The sequence below is a fragment of the Homo sapiens genome, chromosome 4 (assembly GCF_000001405.40).
Source record: "Homo sapiens chromosome 4, GRCh38.p14 Primary Assembly".
NCBI classification, from domain to species: Eukaryota; Metazoa; Chordata; class Mammalia; order Primates; family Hominidae; genus Homo; species Homo sapiens.
The window spans coordinates 169,309,597-169,330,932 of record NC_000004.12 but is presented as its reverse complement, the minus strand read 5'-3'; the positions used below and the strand labels follow the sequence as shown (position 1 = coordinate 169,330,932).

General features: G+C 42.8%; 1 long non-coding RNA gene across 3 annotated transcripts in view, besides 1 other annotated feature; it reads left to right on the top strand.

The window, feature by feature from the left end:
• The window catches only part of LOC105377529 (uncharacterized), a 55,915-nt gene that overhangs the window by 246 nt on the left and 34,333 nt on the right, over positions 1-21,336 (top strand). For 2 of the 3 annotated variants that reach the window (XR_939438.3, XR_939436.3), the window contains exons 1-2: positions 1,469-1,554; positions 3,231-3,281. This is a non-coding gene — a long non-coding RNA (uncharacterized LOC105377529). Of the gene's footprint in view, positions 1-1,468; positions 1,555-3,230; positions 3,282-21,336 lie in introns of those variants that run through there. The other variant, XR_939437.3, reaches the window with a different exon arrangement.
• Positions 18,770-19,318: an enhancer, noted in NCBI's record as "H3K27ac-H3K4me1 hESC enhancer chr4:170232766-170233314 (GRCh37/hg19 assembly coordinates)". NCBI's record gives its function as "activates a minimal SCP1, AML or CMV promoter by ChIP-STARR-seq in primed H9 embryonic stem cells {active_cell/tissue: H9 hESC(primed)}" and the evidence as "EXISTENCE:reporter gene assay evidence [ECO:0000049][PMID:30033119]".

Here is a 21,336-nt window from a genome sequence, read left to right as displayed (position 1 = left end):
ATGAGTCAGGATGGAGTAGGTAATCGAAAAAGGTTGCTTTACGAAGAAGTTAAGTTTAAAAGTAGAAGGCAAAGAATTGAACATACTGACATATTAATTCTTTGAAAAGAAATTTAGAACTCATATCTAACACACAGATAACATTAATTTCTACAAAGAAAATGCAAAATAATCTGCGGGAAAATTATACAGATTTATTAAACACTTCATATGCTATATATTGGTGTATGCATGTTTGCCCTATACACACACATTTAGTGAAGAATATTCAGTGCCTGCCCTGTGCCAGGTCCTGTGACACATGCGGGGTATAGAGTGGGGAATAGAAGAGATAAGACCCTGCCTTCACAGTTTACAATCTAGGTAAGGAGACAGGCAGTGAAACAAGAAGATAATAATACAGTGAGATAAGTGTTATCACAGGAACAGAGGGAGAACTTGAGATTGTGGCAGAAGCCTCTAATCCTGGGCAGAGAGAGGCAGGGGGTCAAATAAATCATCCCCCCAAAATTAAAATATGAGCTGAGGTTTGAAAACTGAAAAGCAGTTAGGCAGAGAGCCTAAGGAGGAGTGTTCCAGCTGCGAGAGTGCCATTGGGAGGTTCCAGACAGAGGGCATGGCTCAGAAGGTCTGTAGAGCCACGTGGGGAGGTGGGAAGGCAGGCAGACTGTGAGGGCCCAGTGGAGAGAGCGGAAGTGGGAGCAGTGGGGTGAAGGGCCTTGAAAGCCACGGCTAAGCTGGTTGAGGTGGCTCGTGCTTGTAATCCCAGCACTTTGGGAGGCCAGGGTGGGCGGATAACCTTAGGTCAGGAGTTGGAGACCAGGCTGGCCAACATGATAAAACCCTGTCTCTGCTAAAAATACAAAAATTAGCCAGGTGTGGTGGTGGGCTCCTGTAATCCCAGCTACTCGGGAGGCTAAGGCAGGAGAATCACTTGAACTCGGGAGGCGGAGGTTGCAGTGAGCTGAGATCGCTCCATTGTACTCCAGCCTGGGTGATAGAGTGAAACTCTGTCTCAAAAAAAAAAAAAAAAAAAGACATGGCAAATAGTCAAATAGTCTGAGTTTTATCCTATGGATAAGGGGAAGCCATTCAAGGCATTTAAACAGTTTGCATTTTAGGAAAATTACTCTGGGCTGGGTGGGTGGCTCATGCCTGTAATCCTAGCACTTTGGGAGGTCAAAGCAGGAGGATCGCTTGAGCTCAGGAGTTTGAGACCAGTCTGGGCAACAGGGTGAGAACTTATCCCTACAAAAAAACTAAAAAAAAAAAAAAAAAAAAAAAATTAGCTTGTCGTGGTGGCATGCACCTGTAGTCCCAGCTACTTGGGAGGCAGAGGTGGGAGGATCAGTTAAACCCAGCAGGTCGATGCTTCAATAAGCCATGATCACACCACTGCACTCCAGCCTGGGCAAGAGAGCAACACTCTGTCTTAAAAAACAAACAAGCCAAAAACTCCTCTGTCTGCAGTACGCCAAATGAATGTGGACAGCGTATGCCAGACTGGAGCTCAGGAGACTGGCTGCTGGGAAAATGCGCTAATCTAGGCACGAGGTGAGGTGACATATATGAGGGTAGAGCTCATAGGAATTGATGGATTTGAGAAGTATTCCGAAGATAGGGTCACAGCAGGTGGAGATGGCATGGGTGCAATGACATTCAAGCTTTAGGGTATGCCAAAGACTGGAAGAAAATGCACCAGAGTGTTAAAATTATCTCTCAGTTGTAAAATTATAAAGGATTTTTGTTTTCTTCTTTATATATTTTTTCTTCTTAATTTTTCTATAAGGTATTTAGGACATTCATGATCAAGAAAAGGTTACAAATAACCATTTTCTCGTTCCTTTTATTTTTAGTATTTATTTTCTTTTTTTGAGACAGAGTCTCGCTCTGTCACCCAGGCTGGAGTGCAGTGGTGTGATCTCAGCTCACTGCAAGCTCCGCCTCCCAGGTTCAAGGGATTCTCCTGCCTCAGCCTCCCAAGTAGCTGGGATTGCAGGTGCTCGCCACCATGCCCGGCTAGTTTTTTGTATTTTTAGTAGAGACGAGGTTTCACTGTGTTAGCCAGGACAGTCTTGATCTCCTGACCTCGTGATCCGCCTGCCTCAGCCTCTTGTTCCTAACGTCTATTGTATAGGACTTAATGCCCTTCTAGGAAAATGATTGTAACCCATGCTAACAGAATAATGGGTCAGCCATGTGCTATTCTCCCATGTGAAACAATGTGCTTTTTGTTGTGGTTTCTGATGATAACTTGTAATCTCAAGGGACTGGATGTTTTAGAAACTAGCAAGTAATATGGAAAAGTAGGAAAAGCCTAGACTTTGTAGAAACAGGGAACTCTACTGCTTACCAGTTTAGCAGTCTTGGGAAAGTCACATAACCTCTCTGGAAGTACCAACTATCATACTTTCATTGTCAAGTGTAATAGTGTATATGAAAGCACTTGTCAAACACCATACCAATGTTTGTAGCTATGTAGCATTGACTACAGGATAAAGAGTGAACTCCTCTCCTGGCTCTTAGAGCTTTCAAAAACTTACCTGAAATTAACCCTCCAATTCTATCTTGTTACATTTCACTCTTCTGTTGAATACTCCTTATAACTGTACTTTATTTTCTCAACCCCTTGTACATTTGATTGTTTGCAAAGACTGTGGCAGCAGTGCACATATTCTCAAGATGATGCTGTATAGTGTAGGTGATCGTATGTCCTGGTTTGCCTGTTGCCCTGGCATCTCATGCATTTTATATTTATCCTAGATAACTGTGCCCTTTTGTATTCAGCATTAGGAACTTCAGACCTACTCGATCTGATAAATGCTGGTGGACTTTGATTTCAATTCCACAGCACTCAGACCTTGGACAAATGATCGATACCTCTCTGAACTTCAGTTTGCTCATCAGTAAAGTGGAGATAATAATATCTGCCCTGTGATTATTAGAAATCATATTCAATAAAGTGACTGGCACATAGTAGGTATTCAATAAATCAGTAGCATTATTGCAGAAGTGCTGTTGCAATTAGTCTGGTGATTTTGCATTTTCCCAAACCAACAAAATTGCATTATTGTCATCAGTATAATCAGCTTTTTGGTAAAGTAGGAATACAGATTTATATTTAAAATAATGTTTGTACATATTTTTATGTAACATACAATTTTCTATGCCCAGTTTGTTTAATTCTTTCAAGAATTCACTGAAATTTTTTTTCTTTTTCTTTTTTTAAGTCAACTGAAGAACACATCCAAAGGAATTCACTGGATTTAACCCAACTAAAGGTAACCATTTATATTAGTCAGGGTTCTCCAGAGGGACAGAACTAATGGAATATATATATACATATAAAGGGGAGTTTATTAAGTATTAACTCACATGATCACAAGGTCCCACAATAGGCCGTCTGCAGGCTGAGAGCCAGTCTCAGTCCCAAAACTGAAGAACTTGGTGTCTGATGTTCGAGGGCAGGAAGCATGCAGCATGGGAGAAAGATGTAGGCTGGGAGGCTAGGCCAGTCTAGCCTTTTCACATTTTTCTGCCTGTTCATATTCTAGCCGTGCCCACAGATGATTAGATTGTGCCCACCCAGATTAATGGTGAGTCTTCGTTTCCCAGCCCACTGACTCAAATATTAATCTCCTTGGCAACACCCTCACAGACACACTCAGGATTGATACTTTGCATCCTTCAATCCAATCAAGTTGACACAGTGTTAACCATCACAAGTCTGCCCCTTGTCAACTTGAACCCATACACATCTCCTGAGATCATACATAATCTTCAAATAAAGACAATAATAAGGTCATAATTACACCTAACATAATACAACTATCCTTTGTACAATTGGAAATGCACCAATCTCCAACCCAAATACCATTACATAAAGTTAACAATACTTAAATGCTGACATGAAGTCAATAAATTTATGTCACATGATAAAGGAGAAAGGAAATAAAATGAAGATATTTTCTTAGTACATGTGTACACATGCACAAATATGTTTTTAACAAAAGAAGGAAGAAATACTCATGACAATTACAGTCCTCATTTCTGCAGCTGGTCATGTGGTCATAGCTGGTATTGATGACTACCTTCTTCTACTACCCATTCTGTATTCCCTTTGCCTTCAGCAAGCACCTCAGCAGGTCGTGGTTTTTTTTCCTGGTGGAGTGACCCAAACCTTCATTCCTGAAGGGTCTGGGTCATTTGTAGTCCTACCTGGGTTGAGCTGTTGTAGTTTCCCATTAATCTTAATCACAGGTCATGGTAATACTAAGAGATACCCTAATGGATCTCCTGAGTTCCATCCATACTCTTCCTTACCTCCGTTGTGGAGTAGTAGGCTGATTTCATCTTGATAGTCAGGGTCAATCACCCCAGCTAACACTGTAACTCCCTTCTTGGCCTGTTGACTTAAAGGTAGGAGGAGCCCATTGGCCTGTTGACTTAAAGGTAGGAGGAGCCCAAAGTGTCCAGGTGGCAATCTTAACTTCCAGTTTAATGGAATCCTTCTTTTGTCTCCTGGTGGCAGCATTCCTTCCTCTGGAACCAAGACCTCTAGGCCAGCAGTACATAATGTTGCAGGAACAGGAAGCAAAAATTTTGCTAGTGGATCACTAGGGGTGATGGTGAGTGGTGCCACTTCTACTTCTACCCATTAATTCCTAGACCCATGAATCCTGGCTATGGGAGAAACAGTATCACATATTGGATACTGATTCAGAACATACACAGCCTTCTGGAGAACTTTGCCTCCACCCTGCAAAGTATTGTCACCTAGTTGGTGTTGTAATTGTGACTTCAAAAGGCCATTCCACCATTCTATCAATCCAGCTGCTTCAGGATGAAGGGGAACATGGTAAGACCAGTGAATTCCATGAGTGTGAGCCCACTGCCGCACTTCTTTAGTAATAAAGTTAGTGCCTTGGTCAGAGGCAATGCTGTGTGGAATACGCTGACGGTGGATAAGGCATTCTGTGAGTTTATGGCTGGTAGTCTTGACAGAAGCATTGCGGGTAGGATAGGCAAACCCATATCTGGAGTAAGTGTCCATTCCATTGAGGACAAACCTCTGCTCTTCCATGATGGAAAAGGTCCAATATAATCAACCTGTCATCAGGTAGCTGGGTGATCACCCCGAGGAATGGTGCCATATCAAGGGCTCAGTGTTGGTCTCTGCTGCTGGCAAATTGGGCACTCAGCCGTGGCCATAGCCAGATCATCCTTGGTGAGTGGAAGTCCATGTTGCTAAGACCATGTGTCACCTCCATCCCTGTCACCATGGGCACTTTGTTCTTGGGCCCATTGGGCGATGACAAGGGTGGCTGGGGAAAGAGGCTGAGTGGTGTCTACAGGACGGGTCATCCTATCCACTTGATTATTAAACTCCTCCTCTGCTGAGGTCACCTGTTGGTGAGCATTCACATGGGATTCAAATATCTTCACAGTTTTCGACCACTCCGAGAGACCCATCCACATACTTCTTCCCCAAATTTCTTTGTCACTAATTTTCCAGTCATGCTTCTTCCAAGTCCCTGACCATCCAGCCAAACCATTGGCTACAGCCGATGAATCTGTATACAACCACACATCTGGCCATTTCTCCTTCTATTCAAAGTGCACAACCAGGTGCACTGCTCGATGTTCTGCCCACTGGGAAGATTTCCCTTCACCTCTGTCCTTCAGGGGTGTCCCAGAAAGGGTCTGTAGTGCTGCAGCTGTCCACTTTCAGGTAGTGCCAGCGTATCGTGCAGAACCATCTGTGAACCAGGCCCTGGTCTCCTCTTCCTCTGTCAAGTGATCACAGAGAACTCCCTACAAAGCCATCAGTGCAGGCTCGGGGAGAGAAGGCAGGGTGGCAGCAATGGAGACCACGGGCATTGGAGCCATCTTCTCATGTAACTTACTTGTCCCTTCAGGACCTGCTCGAGCCCGATCACATATATGCCACTTCCATTTGATGATGAAATGCTGCTGTGCATGACCCACTTTATGGCTAGATGGGTCAGAAAGCACCCAGGTCATGATAGGCAGGTCAGGATGCATGGTGACTTGAGGACCCATAGTTGAATGTTCAGTTTCCACCAAAACCCAGTAACAAGCCAAGAGCTGTCTCTTAAAAGAAGAGTAGTTATCTGCAGAAGATGGCAGGTCCTTGCTCCAAAATCCTAGAGGCCTCTGCTGTGATTCAACCTATGGGGGCTGCCAAAGGCTCCAAACAGCATCCCTATCTACCACTGACACCTCAAGCACCATTGAATCTGCTGGGTCATATGGCCCAAAGGGCAGAGCAGCATGCCCAGCAGCCTGGACCTGTTGCAGAGCCTCCTTCTGTCCTGGACCCCACTCAAAACTGGCAGCCGTTCGGGTCACTTGATAAATGGGCCAGAGTAACACACCCAAATGAGGAATATGTTGCCTCCAAAATCCAAATAGGCCCGCTAGGCATTGTGCCTCTTTCTTGCTTGTAGTTGGGGCCAAAACACAGCAACTTATCCTTCACCTTATAAGGACTATCTCAACAGGCCCCATACCACTGGACCTCTAGACATTTAACTGAGGTAGAAGGTCCCTGAAACTTAGTTGGATTTATTTCCCATCCTCTGGCATGCAAATGTCTCACCAATAAGTCCAGTGTGTTTGCTACTTCTTGCTCACTGGATCCAATCAACATAATGTCATCAATGTAATGGACCAGTGTTGTATCTTGTGAAAGAGAAAAGTGATCAAGGTATCTCTGAATAAGATTATGACACAAAGCCAGAGAGTTGCTATACCCCTGAGGTAGGACAGTAAAGGTATATTGCTGGCCTTGCCAGATGAAGGTAAGTTGCTTCTGGTGGGGCTTTGGACAAGAATGGAGAAAAAGGCATTTGCCAAGTCAATGGCTGCATACCAGGTACCAGAAGATGTGTTAATTTGCTCAAGCGATGAAACCACATCTGGTACAGCAATTGCATTTGGAGTTACCACTTGGTTAAACTTATAGTCATTCCCCAAGATCCATCTGTCTTCTGCACAGGCCAAATGGGAGACCCAAATGGGGATGTGGTGGGAATCACCACCTCTGCATCTTTCTTTCTTTCTTTCTTTTTTATTATTATACTTTAAGTTCTGGGGTACATGTGCACAATGTGCAGGTTTGTTACATATGTATACATGTGTCATGTTGGTGTGCTGCACCCACTAACTCATCATTTACATTAGTTATATCTCCTAATGCTATCCCTCCCCCCTCCCCCCACCCAACGACAGGCCCCAGTGTGCGATGTTCCCCTTCCTGTGTCCATGTGTTCTCATTGTTCAATTCTCACCTATGAGTGAGAACATGCAGTGTTTGTTTTTTTGTCCCTGCGATAGTTTGCTGAGAATGATGGTTTCCAGCTTCATCCATGTCCTTACAAAGGACATGAACTCATCCTTTTTTATGGCTGCATAGTATTCCATAGTGTATATGTGCCACATTTTCTTAATCCAGTCTATCATTGATGGACATTTGGGTTGGTTCCAAGTCTTCGCTATTGTGAATAGTGCTTCAATAAACATACGTGTGCATGTGTCTTTATAGCAGCATGATTTATAATCCTTTGGGTATATACCCAGTAATGAATGGCTGGGTCAAATGGTATTTCTAGTTCTAGATCCTTGAGGAATCGCCACACTGACTTCCACAATGGTTGAACTAGTTTAAAGTCCCACCAACAGTGTAAAAGCATTCCTATTTCTCCACATCCTCTCCAGCACCTGTTGTTTCCTCACTTTAATGTAATGATTTCCATTCTAACTGGTGTGAGATAGTATCTCACTGTGGTTTTGATTTGCATTTCTCTGATGGCCAGTGATGATGAGCATTTTTTCATGTGTCTGTTGGCTGCATAAATGTCTTCTTTTGGGAGGTGTCTGTTCATATCCTTCATCCACTTGTTGATGGGGTTGTTTGTTTTTTTCTTGTAAATTTGTTTGTGTTCTTTGTAGATTCTGTATATTAGCCCTTTGTCAGATGAGTAGATTGCAAAAATTTTCTCCCATTCTCTAGGTTGCCTGTTCACTCTGATGGTAGTTTCCTTTGCTATGCAGAAGCTCTTTAGTTTAGTTAGATCCCATTCGTCAATTTTGGCTTTTGTTGCCATTGCTTTTGGTGTTTTAGACATGAAGTCCTTGCCCATGCCTATGTCCTAAATGGTATTGCCTAGGTTTTCTTCTAGGGTTTTTATGGTTTTAGGTCTAACATTTAAGTCTTTAGTCCATCTTGAATTAATTTTTGTATAAGGTGTAAGGAATGGATCCAGTTTCAGCTTTCTACATATGGCTAGCCAGTTTTCCCAGCACCATTTATTAAATAGGGAATCCTTTCCCCATTTCTTGTTTTTGTCAGGTTTGTCAAAGATCAGATGGTTGTAGATATGTGGTATTATTTATGAGGGCTCTGTTCTGTTGCATTGGTCTATATCTCTGTTTTGGTACCAGTACCATGCTGTTTTGGTTACTGTAGCCTTGTAGTATAGTTTGAAGTCAGGTAGCATGATGCCTCCAGCTTTGTTCTTTTGGCTTAGGATTGTCTGGGCAATGCAGGCTCTTTTTTGGTTCCATATGAACTTTAAAGTAGTTTTTTCCAATTCTGTGAAGAAAGTCATTGGTAGCTTGATGGGGATGGCATTAAATCTATAAATTACCTTGGGCAGTAGGGCCATTTTCACAATATTGATTCTTCCTATCATGAGCATGGAATGTTCTTCCATTTGTTTGTATCCTCTTTTATTTCATTGAGCAGTGGTTTGTAGTTCTCCTTGAAGCGGTCGTTCACATCCCTTGTAAGTTGGATTCCTAGGTATTTTATTCTCTTTGAAGCAATTGTGAATGGTAGCTCACTCACGATTTGGCTGTTTTTCTGTTATTGGTGTATAAGAACGCTTGCGATTTTTGCACATTGATTTTGTATCCTGAGACTTTGCTGAAGTTGCTATCAGCTTAAGGAGATTTTGGGCTGAGACAATAGGGTTTTCTAAATATACAATCATGTCATCTGCAAACAGGGACAACTTGACTTCCTCTTTTCCTAATTGAATACCCTTTATTTCTTTCTCCTGCCTGATTGCCCTGGCCAGAACTTCCAACACTATGTTGAATAGGAGTGGTGAGAGAGGGCATCCCTGTCTTGCGCCAGTTTTCAAAGGGAATGCTTCCAGTTTTTGCCCATTCAGTCTGATATTGGCTGTGGGTTTGTCATAAATAGCTCTAATTATTTTGAGATATGTCCCATCAATACATAATTTATTGAGAGTTTTTAGCATGAAGGGCTGTTGAATTTTGTCAAAGGCCTTTTCTGCATCTATTGAGATAATCATGTGGTTTTGTCTTTGGTTCTGTTTATATGCTGGATTACGTTTGTTGATTTGCATATGTTGAAGCAGCCTTGCATCCCATGTATGAAGCCGACTTGATCGTTGTGGATAAGCTTTTTGATGTGCTGCTGGATTCAGTCTGCCAGTATTTTATTGAGGATTTTTGCATCGATGTTCATCAGGGATATTGGCCTGAAATTTTCTTTTTTTTTGTTTTGTCTCTGCCAGGTTTTGGTATCACAATGATGCTGGCCTCATAAAATGAGTTAGGGAGGGTTCTCCTTTTTTCTATTGTTAGGAATAGTTTCAGAAGGAATGGTACCAGCTCTTCTTTGTACCCCTGGTAGAATTCGGCTGTGAATCCATCTGGTCCTGGACTTCTTTTGGTTGGTAGGCTACTAATTATTGCCTCAATTTCAGAGCCAGTTATTGGTCTATTCAGGGATTCAACTTCTTCCTGGTTTAGTCTTGGGAGGGTGTATGTGTCCAGGAATTTATCCATTTCTTCTAGATTTTCTAGTTTATTTGCGTAGAGGTGTTTATCGTGTTCTCTGATGGTAGTTTGTATTTCTGTGGGATTGGTGGTGATATCCCCTTTATCATTTTTTATTGCATCTATTTGATTCTTCTCTCTTTTCTTCTTTATTAGTCTTGCTAGCAGTCTATGCATTTTGTTAATGTTTTCAAAAAACCAGCTCCTGGATTCATTGCTTTTTTGAAGGGTTTTTGTGTCTCTATCTCCTTCAGTTCTGCTCTGATCTTAGTTATTTCTTGCCTTCTGCCAGTTTTGAATGTGTTTGCTCTTGCTCCTCTAGTTCTTTCCATTGTGATGTTAGGGTGTCAATTTTGATCTTTCCTGCTTTCTCTTGTGGGCATTTAGTGCTATAAATTTCCCTCTATGCACTGCTTTAAATGTGTCCCAGAGATTCTGGTATGTTGTGTCTTTGTTCTCATTGGTTTCAAAGAACATCTTTATTTCTGCCTTCATTTCATTATGTACCCAATAGTCATTCAGGAGCAGGTTGTTCAGTTTCCATGTAGTTGAGCGGTTTTGAGTGGGTTTCTTAATCCTGAGTTCTAATTTGATTGCACTATGGTCTGAGAGACAGTTTGTTATAATTTCTGTTCTTTTACATTGCTGAGGAGTGCCTTACTTCCAACTATGTGGTCAATTTTGGAATAAGTGCGATGCAGTGCTGAGAAGAATGTATATTCTGTTGATTTGGGGTGGAGAGTTCTGTAGATGTCTATTAGGTCCGCTTGGTGCAGAGCTGAGTTCAATTCCTGGATATCCTTTTTAACTTTCTGTCTCGTTGGTCTGTCTAATGTTGACAGTGGGGTGTTAAAGTCTCCCATTATTATTGTGTGGGAGTCTACATCTCTTTGTAGGTCTCTAAGGACTTGCTTTATGAATCTGGGTGCTCCTGTATTGGGTGCATATATATTTAGGATAGTTAGCTCTTCTTGTTGAATTGATCCCTTTACCATTATGTAATGGCCTTCTTTGTCTCTTTTGATCTTTGTTGGTTAAAGTCTGTTTTATCAGAGACTGGGATTGCAACCCCTGCTTTTTTTTTGTTTTCCATTTGCTTGGTAGATCTTCCTCCATCCCTTTATTTTGAGCCTATGTGTGTCTTTGCATGTGAGATGTGTCTCCTGAATACAGCACACTGATGGGTCTTGACTCTTTATCCAATTTGCCAGTCTGAGTCTTTTAATTGGAGCATTTAGCCCATTTATATTTAAGGTTAATATTGTTATGTGTGAATTTCATCCTGTCAATATGATGTTAGCTGGTGATTTTGCTCATTAGTTGATGCAGTTTCTTCCTAGCCTCAATGGTCTTTACAATTTGGCATGTTTTTGCAGTGGCTGGTACTGGTTGTTCCTTTCCATGTTTAGTGCTTCCTTCAGGAGCTCTTTTAGGGCAGGCCTGGTGGTGACAAAATCTGTCAGCATTTGCTTGTCTGTAAAGGATTTTATTTCTCCTTCACTTATGAAGCTTAGTTTGGCTGGATATGAAATTCTGGGTTGAAAATTCTTTTCTTTAAGAATGTTGAATACTGGCCCCCACTCTCTTCTGCTTGTAGAGTTTCTGCGGAGAGATCAGCTGTTAGTCTGATGGGCTTCCCTTTGTGGGTAACCTGACCTTTCTCTCTGGCTGCCCTTAATATTTTTTCCTCCATTTCAACTTTGGTGAATCTGACAATTATGTGTCTTGGAGTTGCTCTTCTCGAGGAGTATCTTTGTGGCATTCTCTGTATTTCCTGAATTTAATGTTGGCCTGCCTTGCTAGGTCAGGGAAGTTCTCCTGGATAATATCCTGCAGAGTGTTTTCCAACTTGGTTCCATTCTCCCCATCACTTTCAGGTACACCAATCAGATGTAGATTTGGTCTTTTCACATAGTCCCATATTTCTTGGAGGCTTTATTCATTTCTTTTTACTCTTTTTTTCTCTAAACTTCTCTTCTCACTTCATTTCATTTCATTCATTTGATCTTCAATCACTGATACCCTTTCTTCCAGTTGATTGAATCGGCTACTGAAGCTTGTGCATTCATCCCGTAGTTCTCATGCCATGGTTTTCAGCTCCATCAGGTCATTTAAGGACTTCTCTACACTGGTTATTCTAGTTAGCCATTCGTCTAATCTTTTTTCAAGCTTTTTAGCTTCTTTGCAATGGGTTCAAACTTCCTTCTTTAGCTCGGAGAAGTTTGACCGTCTGAAGCCTTCTTCTCTCAACTCTTCAAAGTCATTCTCCATCCAGCTTGGTTCCACTGCTGGTGAGGAGCTGCGTTCCTTTGGAGGGGGAGAGGCGCTCTGATTTTTAGAATTTTCAGCTTTTCTGCTCTGTTTTTTTCTCCTCCTTTGTGGTTTTATCTACCTTTGGTCTTCGATGATAGTGATGTACAGATGGGGTTTTGGTGCTGATGTCCTTTCTGTTTGTTAGTTTTCCTTCTAACAGTCAGGACCCTCAGCTGCAGGTCTGTTGGAATTTGCTGGAAGTCTACTCCAAACCCTGTTTGCCTGGGTATCAGTAGCGGAGGCTGCAGAACAGCGAATATTGCTGAACAGCAAATGTTGCTGCCTGATCGTTCCTCTGGAAGCTTTGTCTCAGAGGGGTACCCGGCCGTGTGAGGTGTCAGTCTGCCCCTACTGGGGGTGCTTCCCAGTTAGGCTACTCGGGGGTCAGGGACCCGTTTGAGGAGGCCGTCTGTCCATTCTCAGATCTCAAACTGTGCTGGGAGAACCACTGCTCTCTTCAAAGCTGTCAGACAGGGACATTTAAGTCTGCAGAGGTTTCTGCTGCCTTTTGTTGGTGGCTATGCCCTGCCCCCAGAGGTGGAGTCTATGGAGGCAGGCAGGCCTCCTTGAACTGCGGTGGGCTCCACCCAATTCGAGCTTCCAGGCTGCTTTGTTTACCTACTCAAGCCTCAGCAATGACCCCTGCATCTTTCAAGTCCTTAATGGTGGCACTAATCTCTGTAATCCCTCCAGGGATGTGATATTGTTTTTGATTTACTATTTTTCTAGGTAGGGGAAGCTCTAATGGCTTCCATTTGGCCTTTCCCACCATAATAGCCCTCATCCTTAGTATTCATTCCCATGCCTGTTCTTCAGATTTCTGTTTATATAAATTAGAAAATGCAAGCAGTTCTTTTTGAGTGTAGCACACCTCCTCATGGGTTACATTCTCAACTTCACCTCCAGGGACCTGCCGGGACTTTAGTCTAGTTATAGGTCTGGAAGCAAACAGGGGTGTTGGGGGTGGCTCCTGGGGAGAATCAACATTATCTTGCCTGGCAGCTGCCTCAGGGGAGGCCATCACTGCTGCCTCAGGCAGTGCAGGGTTTATCTCCTCAGACAGAGATGGAAAGGCTGATGGCAGCATGGGTCAGGGAGGGATATTGCCCCTTCTGGGGATGGGAAAGATGTTCCCTCTGGCAAAAAAGGTTCATCAGAGTTTACAAACTCAGTGCCCCCAGCTTCATCAGGGTCCTCCCACATGTCCCTATTCCATGTTGCAGGGTCCCATTCTTTTCCAATCAATGCCCTCATTTTAACAGTAGACACCTGGCAAGGCTGTGGATGCACCTTTTGTTGCAGGTCAGCCACTCAACATGATAAGAGCTTGTGTCTGTTTTTCCATAATTTCAGCTCTTTTTCTACAGGCGATAAGACTCTCATTAGGATAATCTTAGCAGATTTGAGGCTCAGTGTCTGCTTCTAAAGCCGGGAGACAGAATCCCTGAGTTCATCATTTTCTTTCATCACTTTGTCCATTGAACTTAGAAGTAACCAATCAGCTTCATTATGCTCCCTGGTTCTCCACATATGGTCAAAGGTATTACGTATAGAGTCACTAAGCTCTTTGCCTCTCACGAGTGATGAATCAGGAGTGTCAAATGCATTTATTTTGCATAACTCTCTAAACAGTTCACGACAAGGACTATCAGCATTCTCCATACCATTAGAAGTAAAGTCTTTACCATTTTTGGGTCTAATCATATTAAGAAGCAAACTCCAGAAACCCCAAAACCAATGAAATAACTCCATCCTTAATATTCTGTCCCTCTAGAGCCACTCCTGGTACCAAAATCTGTATTTGTCAGGGTTCTCTAGAGGGACGGAACTAATGGAATATATATGAAGGGGAGTTTATTAAGTATTACCTCACATGATCACAAGGTCCCACAATAGGCCATTTACAGGCTGAGGAGCAAGGAGAGCCAGTCCGAGTCCCAAAACTGAAGAACTTGGTGTCTGATGTTTGAGGGCAGGAAGCATCCCGCATGGGAGAAAGATGTAGGCTGGGAGCCTAGGCCAGTCTCTCTTTTCCACATTTTTCTGCCTGTTCATATTCCAGCCGTGCTGGCAGCTGATTAGATTGTGCCCACGCAGATTAGGGGTGGGTCTGCGTTTCCCAGCCCACTGATTCAAATGTTAATCTCCTTTGGCAACACCCTCACAGACACACCCAGGATCAATACTTTGTATCTTTCAATCCAGTCAAGTTGACACTCAGTATTAACCATTACACCATTCAATCAAGACAAGAAGATCCCCAAATCTTTAGCACCCGCTGAATAAATTATCGAAGAGAAAACTCCATCCTTTCACCCACTGCTCCTCTCAACCTATTTTGTAATTCAAACTAGGTTTTCAGACATGATAGACAAACAGACATAACACACAGTGAAGCTGAGGGGGAAGGAGAGGTGGAGGGTTAACAATCAGAGGAAAATCGATCCATCAACCCTCATCCCTTCCTGCTATGGGATGAAAAACACTTTCAATTACTGTGTCCCCTGGGAAGCACAGAATTCAAAAAAATGTAAGCATCACATAAATTAGAAGTCATATTAAAATTACCTTTCACCCTTTCAAACATCCAGACTGAACTGGACCTCAAAGCCTTCAGAAGCTACTTCCTCCCTTGGGATAAGCAAGTGGCAGCAGCAGCGGCTGTCAAGTGCTTCAAAGGGCTGGGCTGAGATAAGGGCCAGGGATGTCTCAAACTACACCAGTCTGTCGTCAAGGAAAAGCAAGGACCTGGAGGCACCAATTGACTCTTTGCAGCAAGGAAGGGCCAGGGCTGGACTTCTGGGGCAACACGACATTTTTCAACTGGCCTTTGGGGGAAACAAAAATTTCTTTGCCCTTTTCTAAGACCAGGGAAGCTAAGTTTCACTGTCTATTTTCCCTGGGATTTCTTCAAGAAATAATGTGCTGCAGGCATTGTGCAGCCTGCTTTATGGGGCCTCAATCTAGAAGCAGGGCCACAAATAGGATAGAACTACACAGCCACAGGGGATGGGAGAGAAAAACTGCAAAGAATCATGCAGTATAAACAGGATCTTTCTTGCATAAGCAAAAATGTTCCTGTGGATTCCCTTTCCCAGAGATGATTAAGTCTTATCTCATGGCAAAATAATTCCTTTCTCCATATCTGTTTGGGCAGCGCTATGAAAATAAGTCAAACTAAACTATTGGCATGATCGTATTAGTCTTACTCTCAGAGAATATTTATTCTGAGAGCTATCAGTTGTCTTGCTCATTATCTATTTGGGTAAATTTCAAGAAATTATTCCATCTATTATTTCTTTTTGTACTTTCTGATGTCTTCCTTTGATATTTAGGAAAATAATTTATTTACAAACAGGAATGGTTTGCAAATAGCTTTTGTTCTAAAAGAAAAACTTCCAGTACAGGCTGTAAATCAAGATGATCAGATGCACTGTTTTCCAGAGATGAATCTCCAGATTTTAAATGTTTGGGGGACTTTATATAGAGCTTTCAAACCCTGAAGAATATATCTTCACCTCACATCTATCTTTAGAGTTGGAAGGGTGAAGACACTTGTCTATAAAAAATGAAATGAGATCCTTGGGAATTTGATGTCAGGGGGTCTCCAGGAGAGTACACTGAGCAGCGGGAACGCGAGCATTTGAGTCACATGTTCAGGCAATGAGTCCGAGGGTGTTTGGCTGCAATTCAAGTGAGCATGGCGCTGGCCTGGAGCCAGAATCATGAGCTGCAGAAACCATTTGCACTTTGGACTGCCGGGAAAGTGCCGGTGGATTTTGGAGCATGCACATACAGGTTACCTCTGCAGAGCTCACGAACTCTCTCCCTGAATTCCTGAATCACAAGCTCTTTTTTACTATTCAGTTAATTTAGTCATAGTCCCATTTCTGTGCTTCAATTTTTAACAGAAGACTTGGAACAATACTTATATTCCTATACTTCACTTAAGGGAAATATTTGAAGGGATTTTATTAATTTATGAGCTGAAAAACCATATAAACTGTTTAATAGTTCCTTGAATAAGACTTGAAGTACCAAGGTGACATTTTCCAGGCATTAGAAACTTGACAAGCAAGTCCTCTGGTTTTGATATGTCTTTGTTTTACCACATCATGAAGGGACAAAGGAGCAGGGTGTTTAAAAAACTGTTGTTATTTAATTTCTTTGTGCTTACCTGTTTATTGGAGATGATAACACAGAACCTTCCTAGGTTGGGGTGAGGATCACACATATGCCAACAACATCTGGCAGATGGTGGGCAGTCAGTAAATATTAGGTTCCTTTCTTTACCCCAAAGTTGACCTGAAAGCTCTGAAATATGTTATTCCAGGCCATTCATTAACTATCAAATAAAAACCAATGATTTCTTAGAACACCAGAAATGTCTAAGAGCACAAGGATAACCCTCCTCATGGGTTCAGGATCATGAGGCAAACTGAGGAATATTTTAAAACTATAAAGTATATAAATAATACAAGAATAAAAAGACAATCCAGTTATTCAGAATAAACAGAGACCTTCTATAACTACACCACAAAAAGACCAATAACTCAATTTAAAAATGGGCAAAGGATCTGAATAGACATTTCTCCAAAAAAGGTGGCTGACAAGCACATGAAAATATGTTCATCATCACTGCCCATCCGGGACATTGACATCAAAATCACAAAGAGATACCATTTCACATCCACTACGATGGCTGCAATTTAAACATAGATAATAAGTGTTGGCAAGGGTGCGGATAAATTGGTACCCTCATACACTGCAGATGGGAATATGAAATGGTGCAGGCACTTAGGTAGACAGTGTAACATTTCCTCAAAAGGTTAAACATAGAGTTACCACATGACTCAGCAATCTCACTCCAGGTATACACCTAAGAGAAATGAAAACCTGTCTGAATCTGCATAACAGCAATACTCATAATAGCTAAAAAAATAGAAACAAGCCAAGTGTCTATCAACTGATAAATGGATAAACAAAATATGATATAGCCATACAATGGAATATTATTCAGCAACAAAAATAATGAGGTACTGATACAACATAGGTGAACCTTAAAAATATTATACTAAGTCAAAGAAACCGGTAACAAAAGGCCACATATTATGTAATTCCTTTTATACAGAATGTCTAGAACGGATTAATCTCCAGAGGCAGAAAGTAGTTTAGTGGTTTACTAGGGGGTGGAGGTGGGGAGCATCGTTGGGGTGTGCCTTAGATTCCTAGGGCTGCTGAATAAAACTGGGTGGCTTAGGACAACCGGAACGTATTCTCGCCATTCTGGAGGCTGGAGGTCTGAAGTCAGCGTTGGCAGGGCCACGGTCCCTCTGGAGGACTCAGGGAAGAACACTTTCTTGCCTTGTCTTGCTTCTGGGGTTTGCCCCCAAATCCTTGGCATTCCTTAGTTTGTAGCTGCTTCACCGCAATCTCTGTCTCCATCTTCACACGGTCTTCTCCCCTGTGTGTCTCTGTCCCTGCATCCAAATTGCAGTCTTATAAGGATGCCAGTCATGTTGGATTCAGGACCAACCCTAATCCAGTATGACCTCATCTTTACTTGATTACATCTGCAAAGACCTCACTTCCAAACTGGGTCACATTCACAGGTTCTGGAGGTGAGGGCTTGAACATAATCTTTTTGGAGGGGACACAATCCAACCCACAGCCTGGGTGTGGAAAATGAGGAGTGACTGCTACTGCAGGAGAGTTTCTTTGGGGGATGATGAAAACGTCCTAAAATTAATTGTGAGGGTGGTTGCCCCACTCTTATAAGCATGCTAAAGAAAATCCCACTGACTTGTACATTTTAAATGGGTGAATTGTGTGGTATATGAATTATAGCTCAATAAAACTGTCATCATAAAGCAAAACTCTAAACAATGATCCTGCCCTCCGGTAGTTTATGGTTTAGTTAAGGAAACCAGTTTGCTCACATCAAGCAAGTGAACAACAGAAGTCCCTACAGAATGAAACATAAGGTTGTGCCACATAATGATAGATATCGTAGATGCTTAGAAAGGAAGGAGATAAACGAGAGTAGCCTAATCCCAGAGCACTTCATAGATAAGGTGTGATTTAAATGAAACCTTGAAATATGAGTAGAATTTAAAATTACTTCTCCGGGCATTTAGAATGGCTTGAAATTCCCTCAATACCAGTGTTCTCTCTCTTTTTTTTTTTTTTTTGAAATGGAGTCTCACTCTGCCGCCCAGGCTGGAGTGCAGTGGCACCATCTCAGCTCACTGCAACCTCCACCTCCCAGGTTCAAGCGATTCTCCTGTCTCAGCCTCCCGAGTAGCTGGGACTACAGGTGCCCACCACCACGCCCAGCTAATTTTTCTATTTTTAGTAGAGATGGGTTTTGCCATTTTGGCTAGGCTGGTCTTGAACTCCTGACCTCAGGTGATCTGCTGGCCTCGGCCTCCCAAAATGCTGGGATTACAGGCGTGAGCCACCATGCCTGGCCTAGCATTCTCTTTTGTCTCCAGCTTTTATTCGTCTGGTCCCTGTGCCCTGAACACTCCTCCTGGCCACTGGCTCCCTGGGGCTATGTCTGGCTTCTGTGCTGGGTCCCAAGCTGGGGATGCCAGCAGTGCAGCAATTGCCTGCATGGCGGGGTAGGAGGGACTGTCCTGTGTTTCTGTGCCTCCCAGGGGAGGTGTGGAGCCTGGGCTTTGCTAAAACGGAGATTCAATGCGAGTCCGCTGATTCTGGGGAGAGAACAGTTTGCTGATATTTTAGATATGCCCCTGGGAAGAATCAGAGAGACTGGAATTCTGTCTCTGCAACAGTCTTTAAGGAGAAATCGGAACCTACCCCTTGCAAGAAGCTAGGACTAAGCCCACGGTGGGGAGAGGAAGAAACTGAAGAAGCCAGGAGCAGGGTGATTCTAGGAGGGCCCTCTGGTTGTTGCCGTATGGACTGAAGAGGATTTTTTCCACTGGGGGCAGTAAAGAGTTGGTTTTGCATCCTGTTCTGGACTCTGTGTAGATAATAGTAAGATGATTTTCTTTCTGGCAATGGCCTGTTTCCTGCAGACCCTGCCAGTTGCTGTGGACACAAGCAAGAGGTTTCACCCGTTTACCTGTCTACGTTTCCCATCAGACCATAAGCAATCTGAGGGCTGGAACTGAGTCTTGCTTGTTACAGTGTTCTCTGACAAAGTGCAGCTCCTGGGGCTTGGTGGTCCTCAGTATATCTTATTGTACGTATATGTTAGTTTATTTCTAACTCTTAGGCACCGATTTCTTGTTTTACTTAATACACCCACTTAATATTGTCATAATTTCTGAAGAAAAATAGTCACTTGTAGAATGTTGTGAACAGAATAAATCTTGATAGAGAACTATTTTCATACCATTGTACAAAGGTCAAGTAAAAATTAAGATAATGGCCAGGCGTGGTGGCTCATGCCTGTAATCCCAGCACTTTGGGAGGCCGAGGCAGGTAGATCACCTGAGGTCAGGAGCTGAAGACCAGCCTGGTCTTGTGAAACCCCATCTCTACTAAAAATACAAAAAACTAGCTGGGCATGGTGGTGGGCACCTGTAATCCCAGCTACTCAGGAGGCTGAGGCAGGAGAATCCCTTGAACCCGGGAGGCAGAGGTTGCAGTGAGCTGAGATCGAGCCATTGCACTCCAGCCTGGGCAACAACAGTGAAACTCTGTCTCAAAAAAAAAAAAAAAAAAAAAAATTAAGATAATACATTAATAATTATTTTAAGTAATGCTGTTAACATTACCTGAAGGCCATCATCATTATGTTATGCAGCATATTTTCTTATATTATACCACTTATGTAAATTTCTTTTTCTTCCAAGAAGAATGTTGAGTGTTTTACAACAAATAACATATAAAAATGAGGTCGGACACGGTGGCTCACGCCTGTAATCCCAGCACTTTTGGGAGGCGGAGGCCGGTGGATCACCTGCGGTCAGGAGTTCAAGACTAGCCTGGCCAACATGGTGAAACCCTGTCTCTACTAAAAATACAAAAATTGGCCAGGCACGGTGGCCAGCGCCTGTAGTCCCAGCTACTCAGGAGGCTGAGACAGGAGAATTGCTTGAACCCGGGAGGCAGAGGTTGCAGTGGGCCAAGATCGTGCCATTGCACTCCAGCCTGGGTAACAAGAGCAAAATTCCATCTCAAAAAAAAAAAAAAAAAAAATAGGCCATAGATTCTCAAACTTAACTGAGCATTAGGATACCTGGGATGTTTGTGTAGAATGCAAATTTCTGAATCTCACTTCTGGAGTTTCTGATTAACAAGTCTGTGAGGGGTCTGAAAATCAGCATTTTTAACAGACACCTACAATGATTCTGATACAGGTGTTCCCAGGCCACACTTTGAGAAAAACTGCAATAGAATCCCCAAGCTGAAAATCAGGATCTAAGAGAAGTCATATAAACATGATGGAACTGAAAGGGTCAATACAGTGGCTCTCACTGAGTTTACAGTTATTTTGAGGTTCTTGGCCACTCTTACAGAGAGAGAGAGAGACAGAGAAAGGGAGAGATGATAGTTTACATGGCTCTTATTATTGAAAAAGTAGAATATACTAGTTCCTTAGGGGAAAAGAAAGTATTTTCCTAATATCAGATACTAAAAAGTATTTTTTTTTTTTGAGACGGAGTCTCACTTTGTCACCCAGGCTGGAGTGCAATGGCGCCATCTCGTCTCACTGCAACCTCCGCCCTCCAGGTTCAGGCGATTCTCCTGCTTCAGCCTCCCAAGTAGCTGGGATTACAGGCACCCACCACCATACCCGGCTAATTTTTGTGTTTTTAGTAGAGACGGGGTTTTGCCATGTTGGCCAGGCTGCTCTTGAACTCCTGACCTCAGGTGATCCACACGCGTTGGCCTCCCAAAATGCTGGGATTACAGGCGTGAACCACCGTGCCTGGCATTAAAAAGTGTTTCTTGCAAGGGGACTTTACAGAGAGATTTACTCCAAGGGATACTTCCAAGGCTGGACACAGGAAAGGATGTTTGCTGAATGGGAGGTTACCAGTGGCTCTGTTCTCAGGAATGCAGCAGTGGGAACAAGGATAAAGTCACATGCAGATTAAGTTTTGTTCCACAAATATTGATTTGCCATTTACTATGTGCCAGATATTCTACTAAACATTTGTGAAACAGAGAGTAAGACAGGTCCTGCTCCCGAGAAGCTGATGAGCAAGTGAC